This window comes from Homo sapiens, chromosome 22, assembly GCF_000001405.40.
Source record: "Homo sapiens chromosome 22, GRCh38.p14 Primary Assembly".
NCBI classification, from domain to species: domain Eukaryota; kingdom Metazoa; phylum Chordata; class Mammalia; order Primates; family Hominidae; genus Homo; species Homo sapiens.
The window spans coordinates 17,664,545-17,690,646 of record NC_000022.11 but is presented as its reverse complement, the minus strand read 5'-3'; the positions used below and the strand labels follow the sequence as shown (position 1 = coordinate 17,690,646).

Here is a 26,102-nt window from a genome sequence, read left to right as displayed (position 1 = left end):
GGACTACAGGAACATGCCATCACACTGGCTAATTTTCTAAACATTTTTTTTGTAGAGACAGGGTCTGGCTATATTGCCCAGGCTGGTCTTTAACTCCTGGCCTCAAGCAATCCTCCCGCCTGGACCTCCCAAAGTACTGAGATTACCAAATACGATTTCATTTCACTGTTTAAGCATAATTAGTATTTTTACATTTGCTCATTTCACAATACTACGCAACAAAAAATCAAATTCTCCTAAAACCCAAATTACTTTCTTCTAACAAACGGTAATCGATATATACTTTGCTTACAGGAAAATAAAAAAAAAATTTTTTTCTTTCAGATGGAGTCTCCCTCTGTCATGCAGGCTGGAGTGCAATGGCATGATCTCAGCTCACTGCAACCTCCGCCTCCTGGGTTCAAGCGATACTCCTGCCTCAGCCTCCCGAGTAGCTGGGATTATAGGCACCTGCCACCATGCTCAGCTAATTTTTGTATTTTTACTAGAGATGGGGTTTCACCATGTTGGCCAGGCTGGTCTCCAACTCCTGACTTCCAGTGATACCTCCACCTCGTCCTCCCAAAGTGCTGGGATTACAGGCTGATTTTTAATATTTATAATAAATGATTTGGTTCTATTTTAATACTTTCCTTATTACTAGCTTCTTGCCTTTAGCTTTAATATGGTCAGAACCATAGCTAGGAGAGAAGTTCCTTCTATAAGAATGTAGAAGCAGTTCCATTGGCAGATGTGCAACCCTAAAGTTGAGCAACTTCTGGGATACAGATATAACGGTTTTTTGGGTTTTTTTTTTTTTTTTTTGAGATGGAGTCTCGCTCTGTCACCCAGGCTGCAGTGCAGTGGCAGGATCTCGGCTCACTGCAACCTCTGCCTCCCGGGTTCAAGTGATTGTCCTCCCTCAGTCTCTCGAGTAGCTGGGACTAGAGGCATGCGCCACCATGCCCGGCTAAGTTTTATATTTTTAGTAGAGACGAGGTTTCACCATATTGGCCAGGCTGGTCTTGAACTCCTGACCTCATAATCCGCCCACCTCGGCCTCCCAAAGTGCTGGGATTACAGGCGTGAGCCACCGCGCCCGGTCAATAAAATGTTAAATACAGAATTCTAAAATACAGATATAATGTTAATCCCACATTACAACGCACAAAACGCTAGCCATTATATTCATGTCACGACTAGAGGAAATGGCAGTAAAAAGTGGTCTGGGGAAGTGAAATAGCTTGTATTTACTACTTGGTAAAAGCATTCGGTGAAACCTGACAGCTCAACATATAAATACAAATTAACAAATCTATGTTGGAATAGCTAAATCACTCCTTTAAAGCAAAGCTGTCATTCAAAACACAGAGATGCTTTGGGAAAGAAAATGAAGAAAATGTAAAGAAAAGTGAGAAAAGAAGTGACACTGTTCACCTAAAACACAGCCCTAACCAATCCAGTGCTGCATGAGAGATCCAGAGACTACTTAAAGAAGCACATCCCACTCAGCAGTGTAACTCACTGGCTCAGGAGCATTTGCAATGCTTTATGGAGAGGCTCTTTCAGTTCCTGGGACACTTTTTCTCCAAGATGGGCCAAGCAGTCTTCCATTGAGCTTTCTGGATTGGCAGGGCTGAACACTGGAGAAGTGTGACGGTCAAAGCCTGTGCTGGTGAAGGCTGAAGATAGGACAAAAGAAAAACCTAATATAATAAACAATATCTATAAAATTAGCTGGGTGTGGTGGCACATGCCTGTAATCCCAGCTACTCAGGAGGCTGAGGCAGGAGAATCACTTGAACCCAGGAGGCAGAGGTTGTGGTGAGCCAAGATCACGCCACTGCACTCCAGCCTGGGCAACAAGAGGGAAACTCCGTCTCAAAAAAAAAAAAAAAACAACAATATCAAAAGTTGCGCTATAAAAGGCCACAGGATTAAGACACCCACTATTAGGAACAAGCTAATCATTACAAGCCACTTAAAAAGGTCAGATAATCATTGTGGACATTAATCTTTGTTGGCACGTAAACATTGATAGGTCATAAATTTAGAGGTTCTTTTAGGTTTTAATGAAAAAGCTTAGATTTAAGAGAAAAGAAACAACTAAACTGACATGTTATAATAAGCTAATCAATTTAGTTTATGATTACTGACCAACAAGTATAATAATGATAAATGAGAAGCAATTCCTGGCTCTATTATCCTTCTCTTAAAATTCTGTTTTTAAGATTTTGTTTTACATTTATAAAACTGGCACTTATATCAGATTCTAATCATCCTCAGAGGATGAGTCCATTGCTTTCATTTCCTTATTAAAATGAACTTTCAACCTTAATATTACTACACATGGATAAATTTTCAAACTATTATATGAAGATTATACAAACAAGTATAAAAGTTGAACCAGAAGCCGAGCACAGTGACTCATGCCTGTAATCCCAGCATTTTGGGAGGCTGAGGTGTGCAGATGGTTTGAGTCCAGGAGTTCGAGACCAGCCTGGGCATCATGGCAAAACCACATCTCTACTAAAAATACAAAATATTAAGGCCGGGCGCGGTGGCGCATGCCTGTAATCCCAGCACTTTGGGAGGCCAAGGCTGGGCAGATCACCTGAGGTCAGGAGTTCGAGACCAGCTTGACCAACATGGGGAAACCCCGTCTCTACTAAAAATACAAAAATTAGCCGGGCGTGATGGTGCATGCCTGTAACCCCAGCTACTCAGGAGCCTGAGGCAGGAGAATCGCTTGAACCTGGGAGATAGAGGTTGCAGCGAGCCAAGATTGTGCCATTGCACTCTAGCCTGGGCAACAAGAGTGAAACTCCTTCTCAAAAAAAAAAAAAAAAGGGGCCGGGTGCGGTGGCTCACGCCTGTAATCCCAGCACTTTGGGAGGCTGAAGCGGGCAGATCACGAGGTCAGGAGATCGAGACCATCCTGGCTAACACGGTGAAACCCCGTCTCTACTAAAAATACAAAAAAATTAGCTGGGCCTGGTGGCGGGCGCCTGTAATCCCAGCTACTTGAGAGGCTGAGGCAGGAGAATGGTGTGAACCCAGGAGGCAGAACTTGCAGTAGGCCGAGACTGCGACACTGCACTCCAGCCTGGGTGACAGAGCGAGACTCTGGCTCAAAAAAAAGAAAATAATAATAATAATAATAGCTGGGTGCTGTGGCACACGCCTATAGTCCCAGCTACTGGGGGGCTGAAGTAGGAGGATCACTTGAGTCCAGGAAGTCAAGACTGCAGTGAGCCCTGATCATGACACTACACTCCAACCTGGGCAACAAAGTGAGACTCTGTCTCCCCAAAAAATAACCAAATTAATTAAATAAAAATAAAATAAAACTTGAATCCAGAAAAAGCAGTCATAACTTGTTGTAGACACTTAACCATTCCCTAACTGCAGGAAGAGCAAGCAGAGTAACTTGTTCCAGAGTACAAATGCGATGCAAGGCATCAGCTACCAGGAAAGCAGGCCGCTTGCACCCACTCCCAAGATTTAGCCGTCATCTGCATTAAGTATTTATTGCATTAATCTAACGCTTACTCCTATAAGGCTGCAAATTTTACTATAAAGTATGTGTTTCTTTATAAAGTGCTTGCCTCCGAGAAAGATGCAAATGGCTGCAAAGTTCACAAATACTTTGTTGTTTGAGCAAGCTGGAGAGCATCCATTTTAATGGTCTAACTTAGATAATATGGGGTTCAATAAGTGAACGTATTTTAAACCTTTTGTTACTCTCTTCTTCTTTCTACCTTTTGCCCATTTTACTATGCAGCAGTGCTGTTACCAGAATATACATGAAGAGAATCAGAAATTTAATCATTTCAAAATGTTGATAAAGAAATATAATGGTCGGGCACAGTGTTTCACACCGGTAATCCCAGCACTTTGGGAGGCCGAGGCGGGTAGATCACAAGGTCAGGAGATCGAGACCAGCCTGACCAACGTGGTGAAACCCCACCTCTACTAAAAATACAAAAATTAGCCAGGCATGGTGGCGGGCGCCTATAATCCCAGCTACTCAGGAGGCTGAGGCAGGAGAATCACTTAAACTCGGGAGGCGGAGGTTGCAGTGAACTGAGATCGCACCACTGCACTCCAGCCTGGGTGACAGAGCGAGACTCTGTCTCAAAAAAAAAAAGAAAAAAAAAGAAATATAAAAGACAAGACTAACATTAGGTTTCAGGATTATTTGTACATTTCATTTTTTTTAAATGGTCTCACTCTGTCACCCAGCCTGGAGTACAGTGGCATGATCTTGGCTCACTACAACCTATGCTTCCTGGGTTCAAGAGATTCTCATGCCTTAGCCTCCGAGGTAGCTGGAATTACAGGTGTGCACCACCATGCCTGGCTAATTTTTTTGTATTTTTATAGAGGCAGGGTTTCACCATGTTGGCTGGGGTCATCTCAAACTCCTGGCCTCAAGTGATCCACCCACTTCAGCCTCCCAAAGTGCTGGGACTACAGGCACCGCACCTGGTCTCGGGATTATTTGTACATTTCTATCTGTGTTTTTTCTCTACTAACGAGGAACATGAGTTATGAACATAATTTATAATTTTGATCATTAAAAATTATTGGGCAGGCTGGGTACGGTGGCTCACGCCTGTAATCCCAGCACTTTGGGAGGCTGAGGTGGGCGGGTCATGAGGTCAGGAGATCAAGAACATCCTGGCTAACACGGTGAAACCCCGTCTCTACTAAAAATTACCAAAAGAGTAGCTGGGTGTGGTGGTGGGCACTGTAGCTCCAGCTACTCAGGAGGCTGAGGCAGGAGAATGGCGTGAAGCTGGGAGGCGGAGCTTGCAGTGAGTCGAGATCCCGCCACTGCACTCCAGCCTGGGCAACAGAGCGAGACTTTGTCTCAAAAAAAAAAAAAAAAAAAAAAAAAAAAAGAAAAAGAAAAAATTATTGGGCAATATATGTCCACACAAAAACTTGCACAAGAATATTCACAGCAGCATTATACATAATAGTAAACAAGTAGAAACAACCTAAATTTCCATTAACTAATGAATGAATAAACAAAATATGACACATCCACACAGTGGAATATTATTTGACTGTAAAAAGTAATGAAGTACTGATACATGCTACAACATGGATGACCCTTGAAAACATTATGCTAAGTCGGCCAGGTGCAGTTGTTCACGCCTGTAATCCCAGCACTCTGGGAGGCCGAGACAGGTGGATCATTTGAGGTCAGGAGTTGGAGACCAGCCTGGCCAATATGGTGAAACCCCGTCTCTACTAAAAACAAAAATTAGCTGGGCGTGGTGGTGGGTACCTGTAATCCCAGCTATTCAAGAGGCTGAGGCTGGAGAATTGCTTGAACCTTAAAGTCGGAGGTTGCAGTGAGCCCAGATCATGCCACTGCATGCCAGCCTGTGCAACAGAGCAAGGCGATGTCTTAAAAAACAGCAACAACAACAAAAATACATTATGCTAAGTAAAAAATGCCAGTCACAAAAGACCACATAGTGGCCAGGCGCAGTGGATCACGCCTTTAATCCCAGCACTTTGGGAGACCGAGGTGGGCGGATCACCTGAGGTCAGGAGTTCAAGACCAGCCTGAGCAACATGGAGAAACCTTGTCTCTATTAAACGTACAAAAAATTACAGGCCGGGCGTGGTGGCTCATGCCTGTAATCCCAGCACTTTGGGAGGCCAAGGCGGGCAGAAAACAAGGTCAGGAGATCAACGAGACCATCCTGGCTAACACGCTGAAACCCCGTCTCTACTAAAAATACAAAAAATTAGTCGGGTGTGGTGGCAGGCGCCTGTAGTCCCAGCTACTCGGGAGGCTGAGGCAGGAGAATGGCCTGAACCCAGGAGGCGGAGCTTGCAGTGAGCCAAGATCCCGCCACCGCACTCCAGCCTGGGCAAAGAGCCAGACTCTGTCAAAAAAAAAAAAAATACAAAAAATTAGCCAGGTTTGGTGGCACATACCTGTAATCCTGGCTACTCAGGAGGCTGAGACAGGAGAATCATTTGAACCTGGGAGATGGAGGTTGTGGTGGGCCGAGATGGTGCCACTGCACTCCAGCCTGGGCAATGAGAGCGAAACTGCATCTCAAAACACCACCACCACCACCACATAGTGAACTATTCTATTTATGTATATTTCCAGAATAGGCAAATCAATAAAAACAGAATGGAGATCAGTGGGTGCCTGGTGTGGGGTGGGGTTGGGGCCTGGGGCTAGTGGGAATGGGAAGTGGCTGCTAATGTGTATTGTGTTTCTTTAAGGAGAACCGAAAGTGTTCTAAATTTAGATCATGGTGATAAATTCTGTGAATACACTACAACCACTGAATTGTACTTTATTATTATTATTATTTATTTAATAAATAGAGACATGGTCTCCCTATGTTGCCCAGTGTGGTTTTGAACTCAGGGGCTCAAGCAACCCTCCTGAGGCCTTGGCCTCCCACAGTGCTAGAATTACAGGCATGAGTCCCTGTGCCCAGACTGAACTGGACCTTTTAAATGGGTGAATTTTATGGTATGTAAAATATATCTCAATAAAGCTGTAAAAATATATTTATATCATTGGGTAAGATGTTCAGTGCAGCATTACCTATGGAAGACAAAACCGGAAATAATGCAAATGCTGTGTAGTCGTCGTCCAGTGAAAAAAGGAATAATAATCCAAATGCTCCCCTCAATAACAAGGGAACAGGCCAGGCATGGTGGCTTACACCTGTAATCCCAGTGCTCACTACTGCACTCCAGCCTGGGCAACAGAGCAAGACCCTGTCTCTGAAATAGTAATAATAATAATAATAATAATAATAATAATAATAATAATGGAATGACTGAGTAAAAACATTTATTCAGTGAATGAAATTTCACGCAGTTAGTAGAGTAACTATTTTTAAAGTTTATGTTGTAATGTTAAGTGCAAAATAAAATGGCTATAAAGTTGAATGTACATTATAATTACAGTTATCTATAGTATATATGTATGCAAAAATAAAAGCGTATGCTTACTTTTTCCTTTTTATGTCGTTATTACTTATAAAGGTAATACTAAATACAAATCAAACCATAGTGAATGGAAAGAACCTTAACATGATCATTTATCCGATACTTAACATGAGAAACTGCTACATCTAACCTGTTAGGTATAGTTGGGGAACTTCCATCAACATATCCTCCAGGAAAGAAAAAAGGCTACCTTCTAGTTTTACCCTTATAAACTTCTACCAATGTATAATTGGTGTAAGTTGTTAACTGTTGAGAATACCCCACTGTAAAAATCAAATTAAACCAACAGTAAACCATAACAAACACAATCTGCTTATTAACTAGAAAAATAAGAATAAACAGACCTTCAGAAATTTCTTTGTCCAGAGATTTTAGCTCTTCTTCAATTTCAGTTTTAACTTTTAATAAAATTTCTTGATCCAGAGATTGTGAAGCTATATCTAGTTGAACCCCTGAAAGCAACAAAAAAGGTTATTATTGAAAGAGGGAGAGAGAAACCATTAGAATATAATAGCACTTTTTTTTTTTTTTTTGAGACGGAGTCTCGCACTGTCACTGGGGCTGGAGTGCAATGGCATGATCTCCGCTCACTGCAACCTCTGCCTCCTAGGTTCAAGCGATTCTCCTGCCTCAGCCTCCCAAGTAACTGGGATTATAGGCGCCTGCCACCACGCCTGGCTAATTTTTTTGTATTTTTAGTAGAGACAGGTTTCACTATGTTGGCCAGGCTGGTCTCGAACTCCTGACCTTGTGATCCGCCTGCCTCGGCCTCCCAAAGTGCTGGGATTTCAGGCGTAAGCCACTGCACCCAGCCCTACAATAGCAATTTGTTAAGCCAAAAAATGCAAAATCAAAATTCATTATCAAAATTAGGGACGGGAGGAAATCCTTTTTGCAATAATTAAAAAACAAAAATCAAAAACAACCTTTAGTAGAAATATTTGGGCCTATGGATTGAGAGTGAGTAAGTCTCCACCTTTCCAGATGTTTCTGCCAGAAACAGGGAAATTGAGCTGAATCTTCAGAAACACATTAACTCAAGAGGAGGTTGGGAAAGATGTATCAATAAGTCGGGCCAGTCCTCTCTTTTTGTAGACAATGTATCCTTTTTAAAAAGTATGAAGATGGAATATGATAAAAACAAAAAGAATTCATGCTATTAATATTTCAGTGGTGGTGGGAGATGTCCATTCCCCCCACTTCAAATTATATAGATCCCTAATTGTATCTCACTTTTGGACACATTTTTAGATGATATACTTCTAGCATTTTATACATGCTTTGTAATTTTCTTTCTTTTCTTCCCCCAACCCTGCCCACAACAGTTAGTTGACTGCTGCTTAAGTCCACAAAGCACACAACTGAGGCTAAAATTCCACCACTGTGGGCATAACGATTTCTTTGTACCAATCACATTAGATTTATGAGTTATGCTCATCACCAGTCTCTCATGCTTATTACTGGTTAATTCTATTTTGCTACTAAGTTTTCTAAATACAGCAAGATAATTATATATCTTTGCAAGTACTAAGGTACAAAAAAAGATACTGCTGAAGCCTGAAAGCAGTACCTCTGTCATTTGACAGTCCAATTTCACCCAAGTTAGTTTTAGTGATAACAATACACAATAATGGCTAATATCAAGTGCTGGGGGCACTATACTAAGCACTTTGTATGTACATGTACGTACGTATGTATGTATGTGTATATACACATATGCTCATAAAATGCTCATAACAACCCTTTGAGATAGGTATTACTATTATCCTCAGTTTGCAGGTGAAAAACCAAGACACAGGGAAGAAATGTGACCAAGGGTGCACCAACAGCAGAGCTCAGATACAAACCCAGGCAGTCAACTTTCAGGGTCTGGGCCCTAACCCCTGCACAATGTCGCCTCTCGCCATTCTTGCAAGCATGGACTATATTAAATCAAACACCCCAAAGTCCAAGCCTGCCTCTATGACAGTGATCACAGCACAGCAGTTCTTGTTCTTGGGCTTTTTGAGATTTCAGGCTCTTAAGAGAATGTCAATAAAATAATGGCCCCTCCTCCCACAATGTTTGGCAAGCAATTTTAGGGCATTCATGGACCCTCTCAGGACCTCTATAAGCCTTGGTTTAAACTCTTTACTAATTACCATCTAATTTTCCTTTTTTTTTTTTTCAGACGGAGTCTCGCTCTGTCCCCCAGGCTGGAGTACAGTGGCGCAAGCTCTGCTCACTGTAAGCTCCGCCTCCCAGGTTCACGCCATTCTCCTGCTCCCAAGTAGCTGGGACTACAGGCGCCCGCCACCACACCCGCCTAATTTTTTGTATTTTTAGTAGAGACAGGGTTTCAGCGTGTTAGCCAGGATGGTCTCGATCTCCTGGCCCCGTGATCCACCTGCCTCGGCCTCCCAAAGTGCTGGGATTACAGGTGTGAGCCACTGCGCCCAGCCCATCTAATTCTCCTTCTTTCCCCGTCCCTGAATTCACATACTCACACCCACTGCATAATATAGTCCTCTTTCATTTGGCTAATGTACTACAGTTTTGTACTATTGGGTAACCTGACTTAATGAGCAGGGCCAATGATCACCAACCACTAAAAGGCTCCAGGAGACAGATCAAGACGAGTAATCGCGGGGCATGGAGGTGCGACAGAGTAGGAAATGGGACTTGGCCCCACCCCACTAATGTGTTTTTCCATACGTTCTCAGTGACCGCCACACCCTACAGCGCCATCCCAACTGGCACCATACCTGCTGACCAGACCTCGCAGGTATGGTATGAAGAAACTATAGGCAGCAGCCTGCCATAAATCTTACTCAAGGGAGTGAGCTCTACCACTCACACGAGCTCAAGGACAATGACCAATCCTAATCACCAGCCTCATTATAATACTAAAATCACCACCCAGAAAGACGCTTATCTGCCACTTTCTGATCATGTGTTAGCACGATTCCTTACCGTGTCTGCACTCCACCCCACACACGTAGTGATGCTCACTTACCTCGTGAATCATGCATGCCACCCTCCTTAAGACACCGCAATGCACTCCCCTCGGAGAGCCAGCTGGAGAACCCTTCCTCCTGTGCTGTCTCCCTTATGTCCAACCTTTCTAGGTATGAGTCTTTTTTTCTTTTTTTTTTTTTTTTTTTTTTTTTTTTTTGAGACAGAGTCTCGCTCTCTCCCAGGCTGGAGTGCAGTGCAGTGGCTTGATCTCGGCTCACTGCAAGCTCCACCTCCCAGGTTCATGCCATTCTCCTGCCTCAACCTCCCGAGTAGCTGGGACTAAGGCGCCCGACACCATTCCCCGCTAATTTTTTGTATTTTTAGTAGAGATGGGGTTTCACCGTGTTAGCCAGGATGGTCTTGATCTCCTGACCTCGTGATGCGCCCACCTCGGCCTCCCAAAGTGTTGGGATTACAGGCGTGAGCCACCGTGCCCAGCTTTTTTTTTTTTTTGAGAGAGAGTTACGCCCTTGCTGCCCAGGCTGGAGTGCAATAGCACAATCTCGGCTGACTGCAACCTCCGCCCCCCGGGGTTCAAGCAATTCTCCTGCCTCACCCTCCCGAGTAGCTGGAATTACAAGTGCCTGCCAACACGCCCGGCTAATTTTTTGTATTTTTAGTAGAGATGGTGCTTCATCATGTTGGCCAGGCTGATCTCGAACTCCTGACCTCAGGTAATCCGCCCGCCCCAGCCTCCCAAAGTGCTGGGATTACAGGCGTGAGCCACCGTGCCTGGCCCATAAGTCTTAATATAGCCTTGTCTGGGAAACTTGCTTGGCCTTGTGTCAATTTCTATTACACAGGAGCCTAAGAACCTGTGGTTGGTAATAAGGGGAAAAAACGAACAAAGAAAACATTTGTATCCAGAGACTAGAACATAAAGGAGACCAAAACGTTTCTCCTGAATTCAAAGTGGGCAAATTTGGGGGTAAAACAGCACAGTTCCTTTTAAAGCTTTAAAAGCTTATATAAAAAGCTCAAGCTCTCCCTACATTGCAAAAATATTCTTTCTTGAATAATTTTTTTTTCTTCTACTTTCAGGTGATTTCAGTACTACAGAACATTTAAACAAAAAATTTAGGATAAAAAGAGCCAAACCAGCCAGGCACAGTGGCTCACGCCTGTAATCCCAGCACTTCAGGAGGCCAAGGCGGGCGGATCACCTGAGGTCAGGAGTTCAAGACCAGCCTGGCCAACATGGTGAAATCCCGTCTCTACTAAAAATACAAAAATTTGCTAGGCATGGTGGCAGGCGCCTGTAATCACAGCTACTCGGTAGGCTGAGGTGGGAGAATCACTTGAACCCAGGAGTTGGAGGCTGTGGTGAGCAGAGATCGCACCATTGCACTCCAGCCTGGGCCACAAGGGTGAAACTGTCTCAAAAAAAAAAAAAAAAAAAAAAAAGAGCCAAACCAATTGACATATGCAGCAGAATCCACATTCCCAGGACATGGGCCAGATTCACAATCACATCAATAATCCCAGCTTGGTTTTTAGCCAGAAGCATTCAGGGAAGTCAAGATAATTCAGAGTCATCCTAGGAATCTCACTCATTTCTGGAACTTAAATTCAGACTTACCTGAACACCCAGAGGATGCTGAATTGTATACTTAGCAACTAACCTTCTGTTAGAGGAGAGTGGTTTTTCATTTCCCTAAAGACTTGAGATAAGTAACTTGTGGGGACAATGAAGCCCCTACCTGGGTGTGGGGGAAGGGCCCTGCAATCAACTATACTCCACCATGCAAGAATTTCAGCAGAAAAACCAAACAAGCTAACAAAAAGCAGCATGAACTGGGCCACTAAGTTGCAGGTCTACCTACTATTCATTTATCCACTGAAGAAACATTGACTACCTGCTATTTATCAGGTATGTCCTGAAGCATCTACGCAGCACAAAAATGAGTAAGATTTGTCCAGCACATGAAACTATTTATATAGACTGGGGAAGTTCAGGAAGGGCAGGACAACAGCAAGCATTTACAAAGTACCTGTTACTTAACAGGCACGGTAGTAAACATTTCCTATGTGTTATTTCATTTAATTTCCAAGTCAACCTTATGAGGGATGAAATAATAGTTCCATTTGAAGATGAGGAAACTGAAGCTTGGATAGGTTCTACCACTACCATAAAGAAGTTATAATTGGAACTCTGGTGAGTCTGACTACAAAATCGTTAATCCAGGCTGTGCTCTCGTCATCTTCTGGTTGGGTGGCTAGGAATGAAAGATCTCAGAAACATTTCTGACATGATTAAATAGTTAACAGAGAGCAGAAAGGCTGTCTATATCGGTGATACTGTCTTCTGACAGGGACTTTCATGTCCCCTTATTTAATCTTCACTTCAGTTGGGTGTGGTGCTCATGCCTGTAATCTCAGCACTTTGGGAGGCCGAGGCAGAAGGATTGTTTAAGTTTAGGAGTTCAAGAACAGCCTGCGCAACATAGCTAGACCTTGTTTCTACGAAAAATAAAAAAAACTAGCTGAGCACAGTGGCATGTTCCCATCGTCCAAGATACTCGGGAGCCTGATGTGTGAAGATCACTTGAGCCTGGGAGGTCGAGGCTGCTGTGAGCCATGACTGCACCACTGCACTTCAGCACTTCTATATATTTTATGTTTCTAGACAGGGTCTCACCCTGTTGCCCAGGCTGGAGTGCAGTGGCACTATCATGGCTCACAAGAGCCTCAACCTCTTAGGCTCAAGCGATCTTCCCACCTCAGCCTCTCAAGTAGCTGGCACTACAGGTACACACCACCATGCCCAGCTAATTTTTGTGGGGTTTTTTTGTTTTTTTTTTGAGACAGAGTCTCGCTCTGTCGCCAGATCATGCAATGGCGCGATCTCGCCTCACTGCAACCTCTGCCTCCTGGGTTCAAGTGATTCTCCTGCCTCAGCCTCCTGAGTAGCTAGAACTACAGGTGCACACCACCACACCCAGCTAATTTTTGTATTTTTGGTAGAGACAGGGTTTCACCATGTTGGCCAGGATGGTCTCGATCTCCTGACCTCATGATCCACCTGCCTCAGACTCCCAAAGTGCTGGGATTACAGGTGTGAGCCACCGCGCCCAGCTGTGTGGGGTTTTTCTTTTTTTTGGTAGAGACAAAGTTTTGCCTTGTTGGCCAGGCTGGTCTCAAATTCCTGGGCTCAAGCAGGCCGCCCACCTTGGCCTCCCTCACGCTGGGATTACAGGCATGAGCCACCAGGCTCTGCCTATGTTTTCATTTTTTGCAACCAAATTAAAGAATCCCAAATTCTCAGATGGGCTTTGAATTAATTAATTCTATTAAGGTCAAGAAACTTGATTATTCTATCATCCACAGGTATTTAAAATACCTTTAAAAAACAAAAGGTTAAACATTTTTACGTATCACAGATTCTGATTCATTTTCTACTTTTAAAGCTGACAAAAATAACATGGCTTTAAGCGACATAAAACACTTTCCTTATGAGATGAGACTAACCAAAATAAAATTCAAATCCTTTTATTTTTTTATTTTTTTATTTTTTGAGAATAGGGTCTCACTATATTGCCTAGGCAGGTCTCAAACTCCTGGGCTCAAGCCATCCTCCTGCCTCTGCCTCCCTAAGTGCCAGAATCCTTAAAAGTTGAAATGTAACACAAAGGATCTCCTCAATGTCACCAATAGCATATACTTTGCTTAATGACATTTCACTTACTTCTGCCTAAGTAAATAACTTTGATAAACTACATTCATAAAAACTTGAAAATGTTACATAAAACAATCTATTATGCAAAAATTTGAGGCCAATTTATCCTAGAAAGATCCTATGCCAATTTATCCTAATCTTTATAAATTCTCATAAAGCATAAAAGTCTACCTTTACAGATAAGCTTCTACTAAATCTCCATTACTGTTTATAATTATAACAGGTTTTCCCTTTAGAAGTAATTTGTAGTGTTAGATGGCTCTGCAACAGCACTGATTAATATAACTGCACAAGATACAGTGATCTCCAGAATACATCATGACATTATTAAGTGAAATCAAACACAAGCTCAGAAATTAATTCACGGCCCATGCTATTTCTTGCAATAAAATTCTCTCTTTCCCTTCCAGCTTCCTGGAAAACAGCCGTAAAGTGGTTGATAAGCTTTGGAGTCAGGCCTTCTAACTCTTCACTTGGGCAAGGAAAATAATCTTCTTGACCCTCTCCTCTTTATGATTATTTTTTTAATTGAGACAGAGTCTCGCTCTGTCACCCAGGCTGGAGTGCAGTGGTGCAGTCTCGGCTCACTGCAACCTCCACCTCCTGGGTTCAAGCAATTCTCCCACCTCAGCCTCCCAAGTAGCTGGGAGTACAGGCGTGTGCCACCACACCTGCCTATTTTTTTTTGTTTTTAGTAGAGATAGGGTTCTGCCATGTTGGCCAGGCTGGTCTCGAACTCCTGACCTGAAGTGATCCGCCTGCCTCAGCCTCCCGAAGTGCTGGGATTACAGGCGTGAGCCACCGTCTCTCCTCTTATATAAAATGGGAAAATAATACCCACCACAAAGGGTAGTTGTGAAGAGTAATGAGATAAATGCCCAATCGACAGGTGCTCCCACTCACCAATTCTTTTCATGCTCTAAAATTGTATTATTAGATAATTATCTTTCCTGGCCCCTTATCTCTGTGAACAGAAATTAGCTCATCACAGATTTTTAATCAAAGATGCTTATACAGAACCTGCTTTCCACACTGTGAAAGGTAGGAATAGCAGGACAACCTCTGTCAGTTTAGATAATGCCATGTAATATAAAATAAGGCTGTTTTAACACAAACTAGGAGAAATCTTGACAGGCAGTTATTCTTGCTCTTCAATTGCTGCTAGAGAGAATGGCTTAATATGTGTTGCTTAAATTTGTTGGACATTGCACAACAAATTGATTGGGGAAGTTTTACTAAAAAGCTGTATTCCTGAATACCAGATGTTCTGCAACCTGTTTCCAAGGGTGGCTTGCCTCTAATGGACTTGCCTTCAATTTTTTTCCAGGCTAAGGTAATCTCTGTCATACTCAACAATGTAAGAATTTTGATCAATCACTGTCATAAGCTACAGTGAATGAACGTGCTTTTAAGAGAAATCAATCCTTCTTGTAGCTACTAACACTCCTTCAAACATACTTCAATGACAGAAACAGAAATAACAACCAGGCTGAAAAAAGTTAGCCCTCTATTCCACAAAAACATTTCTAACTTAATATCTATCATTCTACTCTTGACCTCCCCTTAATCAGAAACTCAGAACACCTACACGTTTTAGACTTCTTGCAGATAATATAACCTATTGGATCCATTTTTCTACAAGGTTTGAATTGTAGACCTCATGATTTGCCCACCCTGGTCTCCCAAAGTGCTGGGATTACAGGAGTGAGCCACCGCGTCTGGCCGATATTGACAACATTTTCTACTGCATTTCTGTGTCCTATGTTATAAAGCTCTTAGTGGGAAAAAAGAAATCTTTTAAAAAACTATTTTCCAACCAAAAGGAACTAGTATAGCTTCTAAATTATAGGGGTAAAAGATTCCTGGAACTAAATATACCCTCTGTTTTATAGTATATATATGTGTGTGTGTGTGTGTATACATATGTATGTATGTATGTATTTGGCTTTCCCAAGAACCAAATTCACAGCTCAGCACTAGTATAATTGTAGAGGATCTCACAGACTACTTACCTATCTATGATCTGTTATTCCTACTATAGACATGTACAATTTTCCTACTCCTGATTTTTTTATTTACTATTTGGATTTTTCCATTATGCATCATAAGCCACATTAAATTATATGTGGTAAGGAATTTTTTAAAAAAGTATTACTATTTGCATCCAGTATGAACTCACTGCCAATTTCTCACTATCTAACAAAACAAGCCAGATGCAGTAGCATGTTACAGTCCCAGCTACTTGGGAGGCCTAGGCAGGAAGACCCCTTGAGCTCAGGAGTTTGAGGCCATAGTGTGCTATAATCATGCCTGTGAGTAGCCACTGCACTCCAGCCTGGGCAACATAGCAAGAACTCATTTCTTTCTTTCTTTTTTTTTTTTTTTTTGAGACAGAGTCTCACACGGTTGCCCAGGCTGGAGTGCAGTGGCACGATCTCTACTCACTGCAACCTCCGCCTCCTGGGTTCAAATGATTTTCCCACCTCAGCCTCCCTAGTAGCTGGGATTACAGGCGCCCGGAACCATGCCTGGCTAATTTCCTATATTTTTAGTAGAGACAGGGTTTCACTATGTTGGCCAGGCTGGTCTTGAACTCCTGACCTTGTGATCCGCCCGCCTCAGCCTCCCAAAGTGCGTAAGCCACTGTGCCCCGCCAGCAAGAACCTATCTCTAAAAAACAAAACAAACAAAAACCTCAAACATATTATTCTACATTTTTGCTCAACATAAACTGTCCTTCTGTTTCCTGATAATTCAAATTCTGTCTATCCTTGAAAAACCAATGTAACTCTCTACTTCAAAATGTCTTCACTGACTATTATGTTTACAGGTCTATCACTGACCTTAAACATTTATACATTTAGTCTGTGTCACAAAGTTTAACACTTAAAAATACACTATCCTATGCTGTTTGATGATTTTGTACTTTATTATCATCATTCTAAACAGATTACAAACACTTTGGGATATACTTCCTTTGTCCTAGACTTGTGTGAAATATGGACTAAAAAAATATTCAAATACTTGACAGCTACCACTATCTACTATGATAAAAACTTAGAGTTACAACGTAAAGATTTATATGTACAGATGAAAAGCTCACTGTATTCTCTATGTATACATGGCAACCTCGCTAGGGAGAGGAGACACTTAAAAAAACACAATAAAATAAGAATTATAAATAAATTCAAAGGAATTAAAAAAATACAAAGTTCCCATTCCAGCAGGTGTAGCTTAAAAATACAAATAAATAAAAAATACAAAGTTATCAGTATATTTTGAGGACAGCTCAAATGACAAAAGGTAAAAGAAATAAGGCCGGGCGCAGTGGCTCATGCCTGTAATCCCAGCACTTTGGGAGGCCGAGGCAGGCGGATCACGAGGTCAGGAGATCGAGACCAGTCTGGCTAACACAGTGAAACCCCATCTCTACTAAAAATACAAAAAAAAAAAAAAAAATTGCCAGGCATGGTAGTGGGCGACTGTAGTTCCAGCTACTCAGGAGCCTGAGGCAGGTGAATGGCATGAATCTGGGAGGCAGAGCTTGCAGTGAGCCGAGATCGCACCACTGCACTCCAGCCTGGGTGACAGTGACGGAGTGAGGCTCTGTCTCAAAAAAAAAAAAAAAAAAGAAAGAAAAGAAAATGAGAAGTCATATTGCATCAGGCAAATATGACAACAGACCAACTGCATAGATAGGAAGATAAATAGAGCATTTATTTATGGCGATGAGTCACGATGGAGATACTGAGAACTAGGAATGGAAAGAATAAGACCTCCACTATTACTTGCATACTTATGAGAGTTTAATCAGTGACTGAATCATAGAACTTTACAGGTTTATAGTCTGTAAAGGCTGTCAAGTCTATCCTCATTACATAAAGAATATGAGACTTCAGAGAATTTAATGACTAGCCCAAGTTCTAATAAATAACAGAGAAATAACATTAGAAACTACATATTCTGGTAAATAGAATTATTATTGACTCCCAGGACATACGACTATAATTTTTGACGCACAGTGACAAGGAATACATGAATGCTTTATCTGCCATCTGTCATCTGCCCCTTTTTGGAAAATCTACATACCCAAAACATACATACACCCACACACATCCAATCACACCACCATCAATACCACCACCATCCCACAAAGCAAATGACAAAAATGTCATGGTTACCATATGCCTCACCCCACCAGATTAAAGAAAAGCAGCTGATTAAAGGAGAGCTTATTCTCTTGAGACTAATGTGATGCTGATTACACATGACAAGTTGTCATACTTCATAATAAACCATGTGGAAAACCTAAACCAGAAAATGTCTGCTGCTGTTAGGACACAAAGGCTATTTATTTAGCTGACCAGTGACACAGAGAGATTCAGTGATTTGCATTTAATTAATCCTCTCCACCTAGTTTTTCTAAAGCACAGAGCTACGCAGTGGGGCCAATGCTGCATAAATTCTGGACTATAAACCAAGATACAAATATTTCAAAGATAAACAGACTTTAGCACACTAAGTCCCACCCACTTGTTTCAAATGAAGTCAAGTGAGTCAGTAATCATTATATTCCAGCCCTAAAATTCATTCAGAGCTATCAAAGTGAATAGAAGATTAACAAGTTTAGCCAAGTTGAATGGACTAGAGCTCCCAGAGCAAAATACTTTCGAAATCTATGGTTCCCCAAACTGGAAACACATTTAAATTACCTATAAAACACATTAAATTATAGATTCCCAAGTCCTAGCATGCAGTATCTGGTCCTGTAGGTCTAGGGTAGAGCTCCATGATCTTTGTTTTAGCAAGTATTCAGGCAATTAGCCTTGCGATAACACTCTAGGCAGTCCAAATAATTACAATCAAATCAAAAAGGTCCATTGAACATATAGACAGAATGGTTCAATTGTTCATTAAATAGCAAAAACAAATACCTCAAAATATACCTTACTGGACCAGCAATTAAGAAACCAGATGTTGGCCGGGCACAGTGGCTCATGCCTGTAATCCCAGCATTCTGGGAGGCCAAGGCGAGCGGATCACCTGAGGTCAGGAGTTTGACACCAGCCTGGCCAACATGGTGAAATGACATCTCTACTAAAAATACAAAAATTGGCTGGGCGTGATGGCGCGCTCCTTTAATCCCAGCTACTCAGGAGGCTGAGGCATGAGAATTGCTTGAACCCAGAAGGCAGAGGTTGCAGTGAGCAGAGATTGCACCACTGCACTCCACTCCAGCCTGGGAAAGAGTGTGAGACTCTGTCTGAAAAAGAAAACAGATGTTTGGGGCAGAGTGGCACTTTGGGAGGCTAAGGCATAAAGATCGCCTGAGCTCAGAAGTTTGAGACCAGCCTGAGGAACATGGCGAAACAAATGTCTCTACAAAAAAAATAAATAAATAAAGGAGCAAGATTTTTTTTTTTTTTTGAGATGTAGCCTCACTCTGTTGCCCAGAATGGAGTGCATGGCGCGATCTCAACTCACTTCAACCTCTGCTGCCCAGGTTCAAGCGATTCCCCTGCCTCAGCCTCCTGAGTAGCTGGGACTACAGGCGCCCGCCACAACTCCTGGCTAATTTTTTTTTTTTTTTTTTTTTTTTGAGATGGAGTCTCGCTCTGTCACCCAGGCTGGAGTGCAGTGGCGTGATCTTGGCTCACTGCAAGCTCTGTCTCCCGGGTACACGCCATTCTCCTGCCTCGGCCTTCCCAGTAGCTGGGACTACAGGCACCCACCATCACACCCACCTAATTTTTTGTATTTTTAGTAGAGAAGGGGTTTCACCGTCTTAGCCAGGATGGTCTCGATCTCTTGACCTCATGATCTACCCACCTCGGCCTCCCAAAGTGTTGGCATTACAGGTGTGAACCACCGTGCCCGGCCAATTTTTTGTATTTTTAATAGAGACAGGGTTTCACCATGTTAGCCAGGATGGTCTCGATCTCTTGACCTCATGATCTGCCCACCTCGGCCTCCCAAAGTGCTGGCATTACAGGTGTGAGCCACTATGCCCAGTCTTTTGTTTTGTTTTAAACAACCAAATTCCAGACAGCCAATCATGATTGCAGTTTTCAGGTTCTAGCGTTATCATACCCCCTAAGCATCTTGCAGATTGGGAGACAGACTGATGGAGGACAGATCTGAGGGAAAAGAATGCAGAATTCCACCATGCACCACCCAAGGTCTGGCTTCACAGTGGTCGAGATCAACCATCTTCTGTTCCTGATAGAAAAGCTAAGATAAGAATGAAACAGTACACATCTCTGGAAATAATATATTATGGCTCAATTTCAAATTGGGTTATACAAATCTGCCTTGAAAAGCTGATGTAAGCCGGGCGCAGTGGCTCATGCCTGTAATCCCAGCACTTTGGGAGGCCGAAGCAGCCGAGGTCGGGGGCTTGAGACCAGCCTGACCAACATGGAGAAACCCCATCTCTACTAAGAACACAAAATAAGCCAGGCATGATGGCGCATGCCTGTAATCCCAGCTACTTGGGAGGCTGAGGCAGGAGAATCACTTGAACCTGGGAGGCAGAGGTTGCGGTGAGCCAAGATCACGCCATTGCACTCCAACCTGGGCAACAAGAGCGAAACTCTGTCTTAAAAAAAAAAAAAAAAAAGCTGATTTGAGATAGCAGGACTCCCCAAATTGATCTACACATTAATGTAATCCCCATCAAAATTCCAACTCTGTTTTTTCCAGAAATAGACAAGCCAATCCTAAAATTAATATGGAAATGCAAGAGACACAGAATAGTCAAAGCAATCTTGGAAAAGGAAGAACAAAGTTGAAGGGCTCACACTTCATAATTTCAAAATTTACTACAAAGCTACAGCAATAAAAATAGTATGGTATAACAACAGGTATACAGACCAATGGAATTGAATTGAGAAGGGAAAAATAAATCCATACATATATGGTCAATTGATTTTTGAGAAAGGTACCAAGGTCAACCAATGGGAGAAAGAATAACTTTTCAACAAATGGTGCTGAGACAACAACAAGAGATCCCCATGTGTATTAGTCCATTTTCTTTTGTTTATGAAAGAATACCTGAAACTGGATAGTTTATAAAGAAAAGGAATTTATTTCTCACAGTTCTGGAGGCTGAGAAGTCCAAGGTTGAGGGGCTGCCTTTGACCTCAAACAGAGTCCCGAGGCAGCACAGAGTATTACATGGCGAGGGGGCTGAGCATGCTAATGTGTGAGCTCCAGGTCTCTCTTCCTCTTCTAATAAAGCCACTGGTTCCACTCACATAACTCATTAATCCATTAACCCACGAATGGATTAATCCATTTGTAACGGCTACTATATTTTGCTTTGTTTAAACCCTCCAAATCTCATGTTGAGAGTTGATCCCAAATGCTGGAAGTGGGGATTAATGGGAGGTGTTTGGGTCACGGGAGTGCATCCCTCATGGATGACCTGGTACCATCTTCAAGGTTCTCAGTGAGTTCTTGCTCAGTTCCTTTCTGCCAGAACTAGTTGTTAAAAAGAGCATGGCACCTCCCTTCCTATTCTCACTGGCCTCTGTTCTTGTCATGTGATCTCTGCACACATGAGCTTCCCCTTTTCACCATGAGTGGAAGCAGTTTGAGGCCCTCACCAGATGCAGACGCCAGTGCCATGCTTCTTAAACAGCCTGAAGAACCAAGAGCCAGGCCAGGTGCGGTGGCTCACGCCTGTAATCCCAGCACTGTGGGAGGCCGAGGCGGGCAGATCACGAGGTCAGGAGATTGAGACCATCCTGGCTAACATGGTGAAACCCCGTCTCTACTAAAAATACAAAAAACTAGCCGGGTGTGGTGGCAAGCACCTGTAGTCCCAGCTACTCAGGAGGCTGAGGCAGGAGAAAGGCGTGAACCTGGGAGGCGGAGCTTGCAGTGAGCTGAGATCGCACCACTGCACTCCAGCCTGGGCGACAGAGCGAGACTCCGTCTCAAAAAAAAAAAAAAAAAAAAGAAAGAAACAGGAGCCAAATAAACTTCTTTTCTTTATAAATTACCCAGCCTCGGGTGTACCTTTATAGCAATATAAATGAACTAAGACAAGGACAACGTGCTCAAGATGCAATTACCTCTAAAAGCCCTCATCTCCTAATACTGCCACATTGGGAGCTAAGTTACAATATGAATTTGAGGGGACACTGAAACCACAGTACTATGCAGAAGAACTTATCTGAATCCCTACTTCAAACCATATGTAAAAATTAACTCAAAACAGATCAGGCCAAGCGCAGTGGCTCACGTCTGTAATCCCAGCACTTTGGGAGGCCAAGGCAGGTGGATCACGAGGTCAGGAGTTCGAGACCAGCCTGGCCAACATGGTGAAACCCCATCTCTACTAAAAATACAAAAATTAGCCAGGCATCGTGGTGCACGCCTGTGGTGCATGCCTGTAATCCCAGCTACTTGGGAGGCTGAGGCAGGAGAATTGCTTGAACCCAGGAAGGTGGAGGTTGCAGTGAGCTGAGACAGCACCACTGCACTCCAGCCTGGGCGACAGAGCGAGACTCCATCTCAGGAGAAAAAAAAAAAAACACAGATCAAAGACCTAAATTTAAAAGCTAAAACTATAAAATTCTCAGAAGGAAACACAGGTGAAAATGTACATGACCTTGTATTAGCCAATGGTTTCTTAGATAAGACACTCAAAGCATAATAAAAAAACGTTAAGACAGGTAGGGCACGGTGGCTCACGCCTGTAATCCCAGCACTTTGGGAGGCTGAGGTGGGCAAATCATCTGAGGTCAGGAGTTCAAGACCAGTCTGGCCAACATGGTGAGACCCCCATCTCTACTAAAAACACAAAAAATTAGCCTGGCATCGTGGTGTGCGCCTGTAATCCCAGCTACTTGGGAGGGTGAGGTGGAAGAATTGCTTGAAGCTGGGAGACGGAGGTTACAATGAGCCAAGATAGTGCCACTGCACTCCAGCCTGGGCGACAGAGCGAGACTGTCTCAAAAAAAAAAAAGAATAGGCAACTACAAGCCCTTCCTCATGCTCTCAAAAAAAAAAAAAAAAAAAAAGACAAACTGGAATTCACCAAAATTAAAAATGTTTGTATGTCAAAGGATACTGCCAAGAAAGTAAGTAAAAAGACAAACTATAGCATGAATGAAAATATCTAGCAATCATGTATCTGATAAGAATCTGGTGACCAAAACATATAAAGAATTCTTACAACTGCCCGCGGTGGCTCACGCCTGTAATCCCAACACTTTGGGAGGCCAAGGCGGGCAGATCACTAGAGGTCAGGAGTTCCAGACCAGCCTCGCCAACATGGTAAAACTCCGTCTCTACTAAAAATACAAAAATTAGCCAGGTATGGTGGCAGACACCCATAATCCCGGCTACTCAGGAGGTGGGGGCAGGAGAATCGCTTGAACCTGGGAGGCTGAGGTTGCAGTGAGCTGAGACCACACCACTATATTCCAGCCTGGGCAACAGAGATAGACTCTGTCTCAAAAACAACAATAACAACAAAGACTTCTTACAACTCAATTTAAAAAAACTCAAGTAGGCCAAGTGCGGTGGCTCACGCCTGTAATTCCAGCACTTTGGGAGGCCAAGGCGGGCAGATCACATGAGGTCAGGAGTTCGAGACTAGCCTGACCAACATGGCGAAACCCATCTGTACTAAAAATACAAAAATTAGCCAGGCGTAGTGGTGGGCACCTGTAATCCCAACTACTCAGGAGGCTTAGGCAGGAGAATCGCTTGAACCCAGGAGGCGTAGGTTGCAGTGAGCCAAGACTGTGCCATTGCACTCCACCCTGGTGGGGTTGGGGGGGAAACTAACTAAAAATTGAGCTACCATATGATCCAGCAATCCCACTGCTAGGTATATACCCAAAAAAAGGAATCAGTATATCAAAGAGCTATCTGCACTCCTATGTTTGCTGCACACTGTTTACAACAGCCAAGGTTTGGAAGCAACCTAAGTGTCCATGAACAGATGAATGGATAAAGAAAATGTGGTACATATAGACAACGGAGTACTATTCAGGCATAAAAACAATGAGATCACCTGTAATCCCAGCACTTTGGGAGGCTGAGGCAGGAGGATCACTAGGTCAGGAGTTCAAGACCAGCCTGGCCAACTGGTGAAACCCCGTCTCTACTAAATATACAAAAATTAGCTGGGCATGGTGGCGCATGCCTGTAAACCCAGCTACTCAGGAGGCTGAGGCAGGAGAATTGTTTGAACCGGGACCCGGGAGGCAAAGGTTTCAGTGAGCTGAGGTCATGCCACTGCACTCCAGCCTGTGCTACAAAGCAAGACCCTGTCTTAAAAAAAAAAAAAAAAAAAAAGAATGAGGTCCTGTCATTTGCAACAACATGGATAGAACTGGAAGTCATTGTGTTAAGTTAAATAAGCCAGGCACAGAAAGACAAACATTGCATATTCTCACTTATTTCTGAGATGTAAAGAAACAACTGAACTCATGGACACAGAGAATATAAGGATGGTTACCAGAACTAAGAAGGGTAATGGGGGTCTGGGGACAGCAGGAGGTGGGGATGGTTAATGGGTTAAAATAAATAAATAAATAAATAATGACTAAGACCTACTATTCAACAGCCCATTAATTGTACATTTTAAAATAACTTAAAGAGTAACTGAATTGTTTGTAATTCAAAGGATAAATGTTGAGGGGACGGATACCCCATTCCCTATGATGTGTTTATTTGTCATTGCATGCCTGTATTAAAACATCTTATGTACCCCATAAATATATATATACACCTACTATGTACTCAAAAAATTTAAAAAAATAAAAAATAAAAATACATTTAAAAATTAAAATTAAAAATAAAACCACAATGAGATACACTCAATGAGATTACAGCACATCCCCTAGAATAGCTATGTTGGCAAAGAGATGGAGAAACTCTTACATATTGTTGGCAGGAAGCAAAATGACATAATCACTTCATAAGACAGTTTAGCAATTCCTTATAAAACAAAATATATTCTTTTCACCATACGACCCAGCAGCTGTGCTCCCTGGTATTAACCCAAATGAGTTAAAAACTTACATACACACAAAAACCTACACACAAACGTTTATTCATAATTGCCAAAATTTGGAAGGAACTGAGATGTTCTTGAAAGGTGACTCGATAAACAAACTATGGTATATTCATACAACGGCATATTATTCAACAATAAAAAGAAATAAGCTACCACAATAAGGCACCACTTCACAACCTTTAGGATGGTTAATATTAAAAAAACAGAAAACAAATGTTGGTAAGAATATGGAGAAATCAGAACCTCTGTACACTGGTGATAGGAAGATTATTTATGCTATAACATAGATGAATCTTGAAAACATTGTGCAAATATGGTTTGGCTGTGTCCCAACCCAAATCTCACCTTGAATTGTAATAATCCCCATGTGTCAAGGGCGGGGCCAGGTGGAAACAAATCATGGGGGTGATTTCCCCCATACTGTTCTCATACAGAAAATTGGTACTGGGAGTGGGGCACTGCTTAAACATACCCGAAAATGTGAAGCAACTTTGGAAATGGGTAACAAACAGGCAGAAGTTGGAACAGTGTGGAAGGCTCAGGAAACAACAGGAAAAATGTGGGAGAGTCTGGAACTTCCTAGAGACTTATTGAATGGTTTTGACCAAAATGCTGACAGTGATATGGGCGATAAAGTCCAAGTTGAGGTGGTCTCAGATGGAGATAAGGAACTTATTGGGAACTGGAACAAAGGTGACTCTTGCTATGTTTTAGCAAAGAGACTGGTGGCGTTTTGCCCCTGCCCTAGAGATCTGTGGAACTTTAAACCTGAGACAGATGATTTAGGGTATCTGGCAGAAGAAATCTCTGAGCAACAAAGCTTCAAGAGGAAGCAAAGCATAAAAGTTTGAAAAATGTGCAGTCTGATGATGCAGTAGAAAAGAAAACTCCATTTTCTAGGGAGAAATTCAAGCCTGATACAGAAATTTGCACCAGTAACAAGAAGCCAAATGCTAATTGCCAAAACAATGGAGAAAATGTCTCCAAAGCATGTCAGAAACCTTCCAAGCAGCTCCTCCCATCACAGTCCTAGGAGGGAAACATAGTTTCCTGGACCAGGGCCAGGGCCCCCTCCTGCTGTGTGCAGCCTCTGGACTTGGTGCCCTGCATCCCAGCCACTCCAGTCGTGGCTAAAGGGGCCAAGGTACAGCTCGGGAAATGGCTTCAGGGGGTGAAAGTCCTAAGCCTTGGCAGCTTCCACATGGTGTTGGGCCTGCAGGTGCACACAAGTCAAGAACCGAGGTTTGGGAACCTCTGCCTAGATTTCAGAAGATGTATGGAAATGCCTGGATGTCCAGGCAGAGGTGTGCTATAGGGGTGGAGCCCTCATGGAAAACCTCTGCTAGGGCAGTGCAGAAGGGAAATGTGGGGTGGGAACCCACACACAGAGTCCCCACTGAGGCACTGCCT

The 26,102-nt window shown here is 42.8% G+C and overlaps 1 protein-coding gene across 25 annotated transcripts in view; it reads right to left on the bottom strand.

Annotated features, from left to right (window-relative positions):
- The window catches only part of BCL2L13 (BCL2 like 13), a 101,979-nt gene that overhangs the window by 40,209 nt on the left and 35,668 nt on the right, over positions 1 to 26,102 (bottom strand). For 17 of the 25 annotated variants that reach the window (NR_073068.1, XM_047441286.1, XM_011546120.2 and 14 more), the window contains 2 exons: positions 7,326 to 7,433; positions 1,505 to 1,661 (listed from right to left, as the gene is read on the bottom strand). The exons of 1 other annotated variant lie outside the window; for it this stretch is intronic. Coding sequence is in view for 18 of the 24 variants with exons in the window: in XM_047441286.1 (XP_047297242.1) it covers positions 1,505 to 1,661; positions 7,326 to 7,433 (265 nt within the window). In the remaining 6 variants the exon portion in view is untranslated. Of the gene's footprint in view, positions 1 to 1,504; positions 1,662 to 5,940; positions 6,039 to 7,325; positions 7,434 to 26,102 lie in introns of all 25 variants that reach the window. 7 more of the 25 variants (XM_047441294.1, NM_001270729.2, NM_001270732.2 and 4 more) reach the window with 2 other exon arrangements.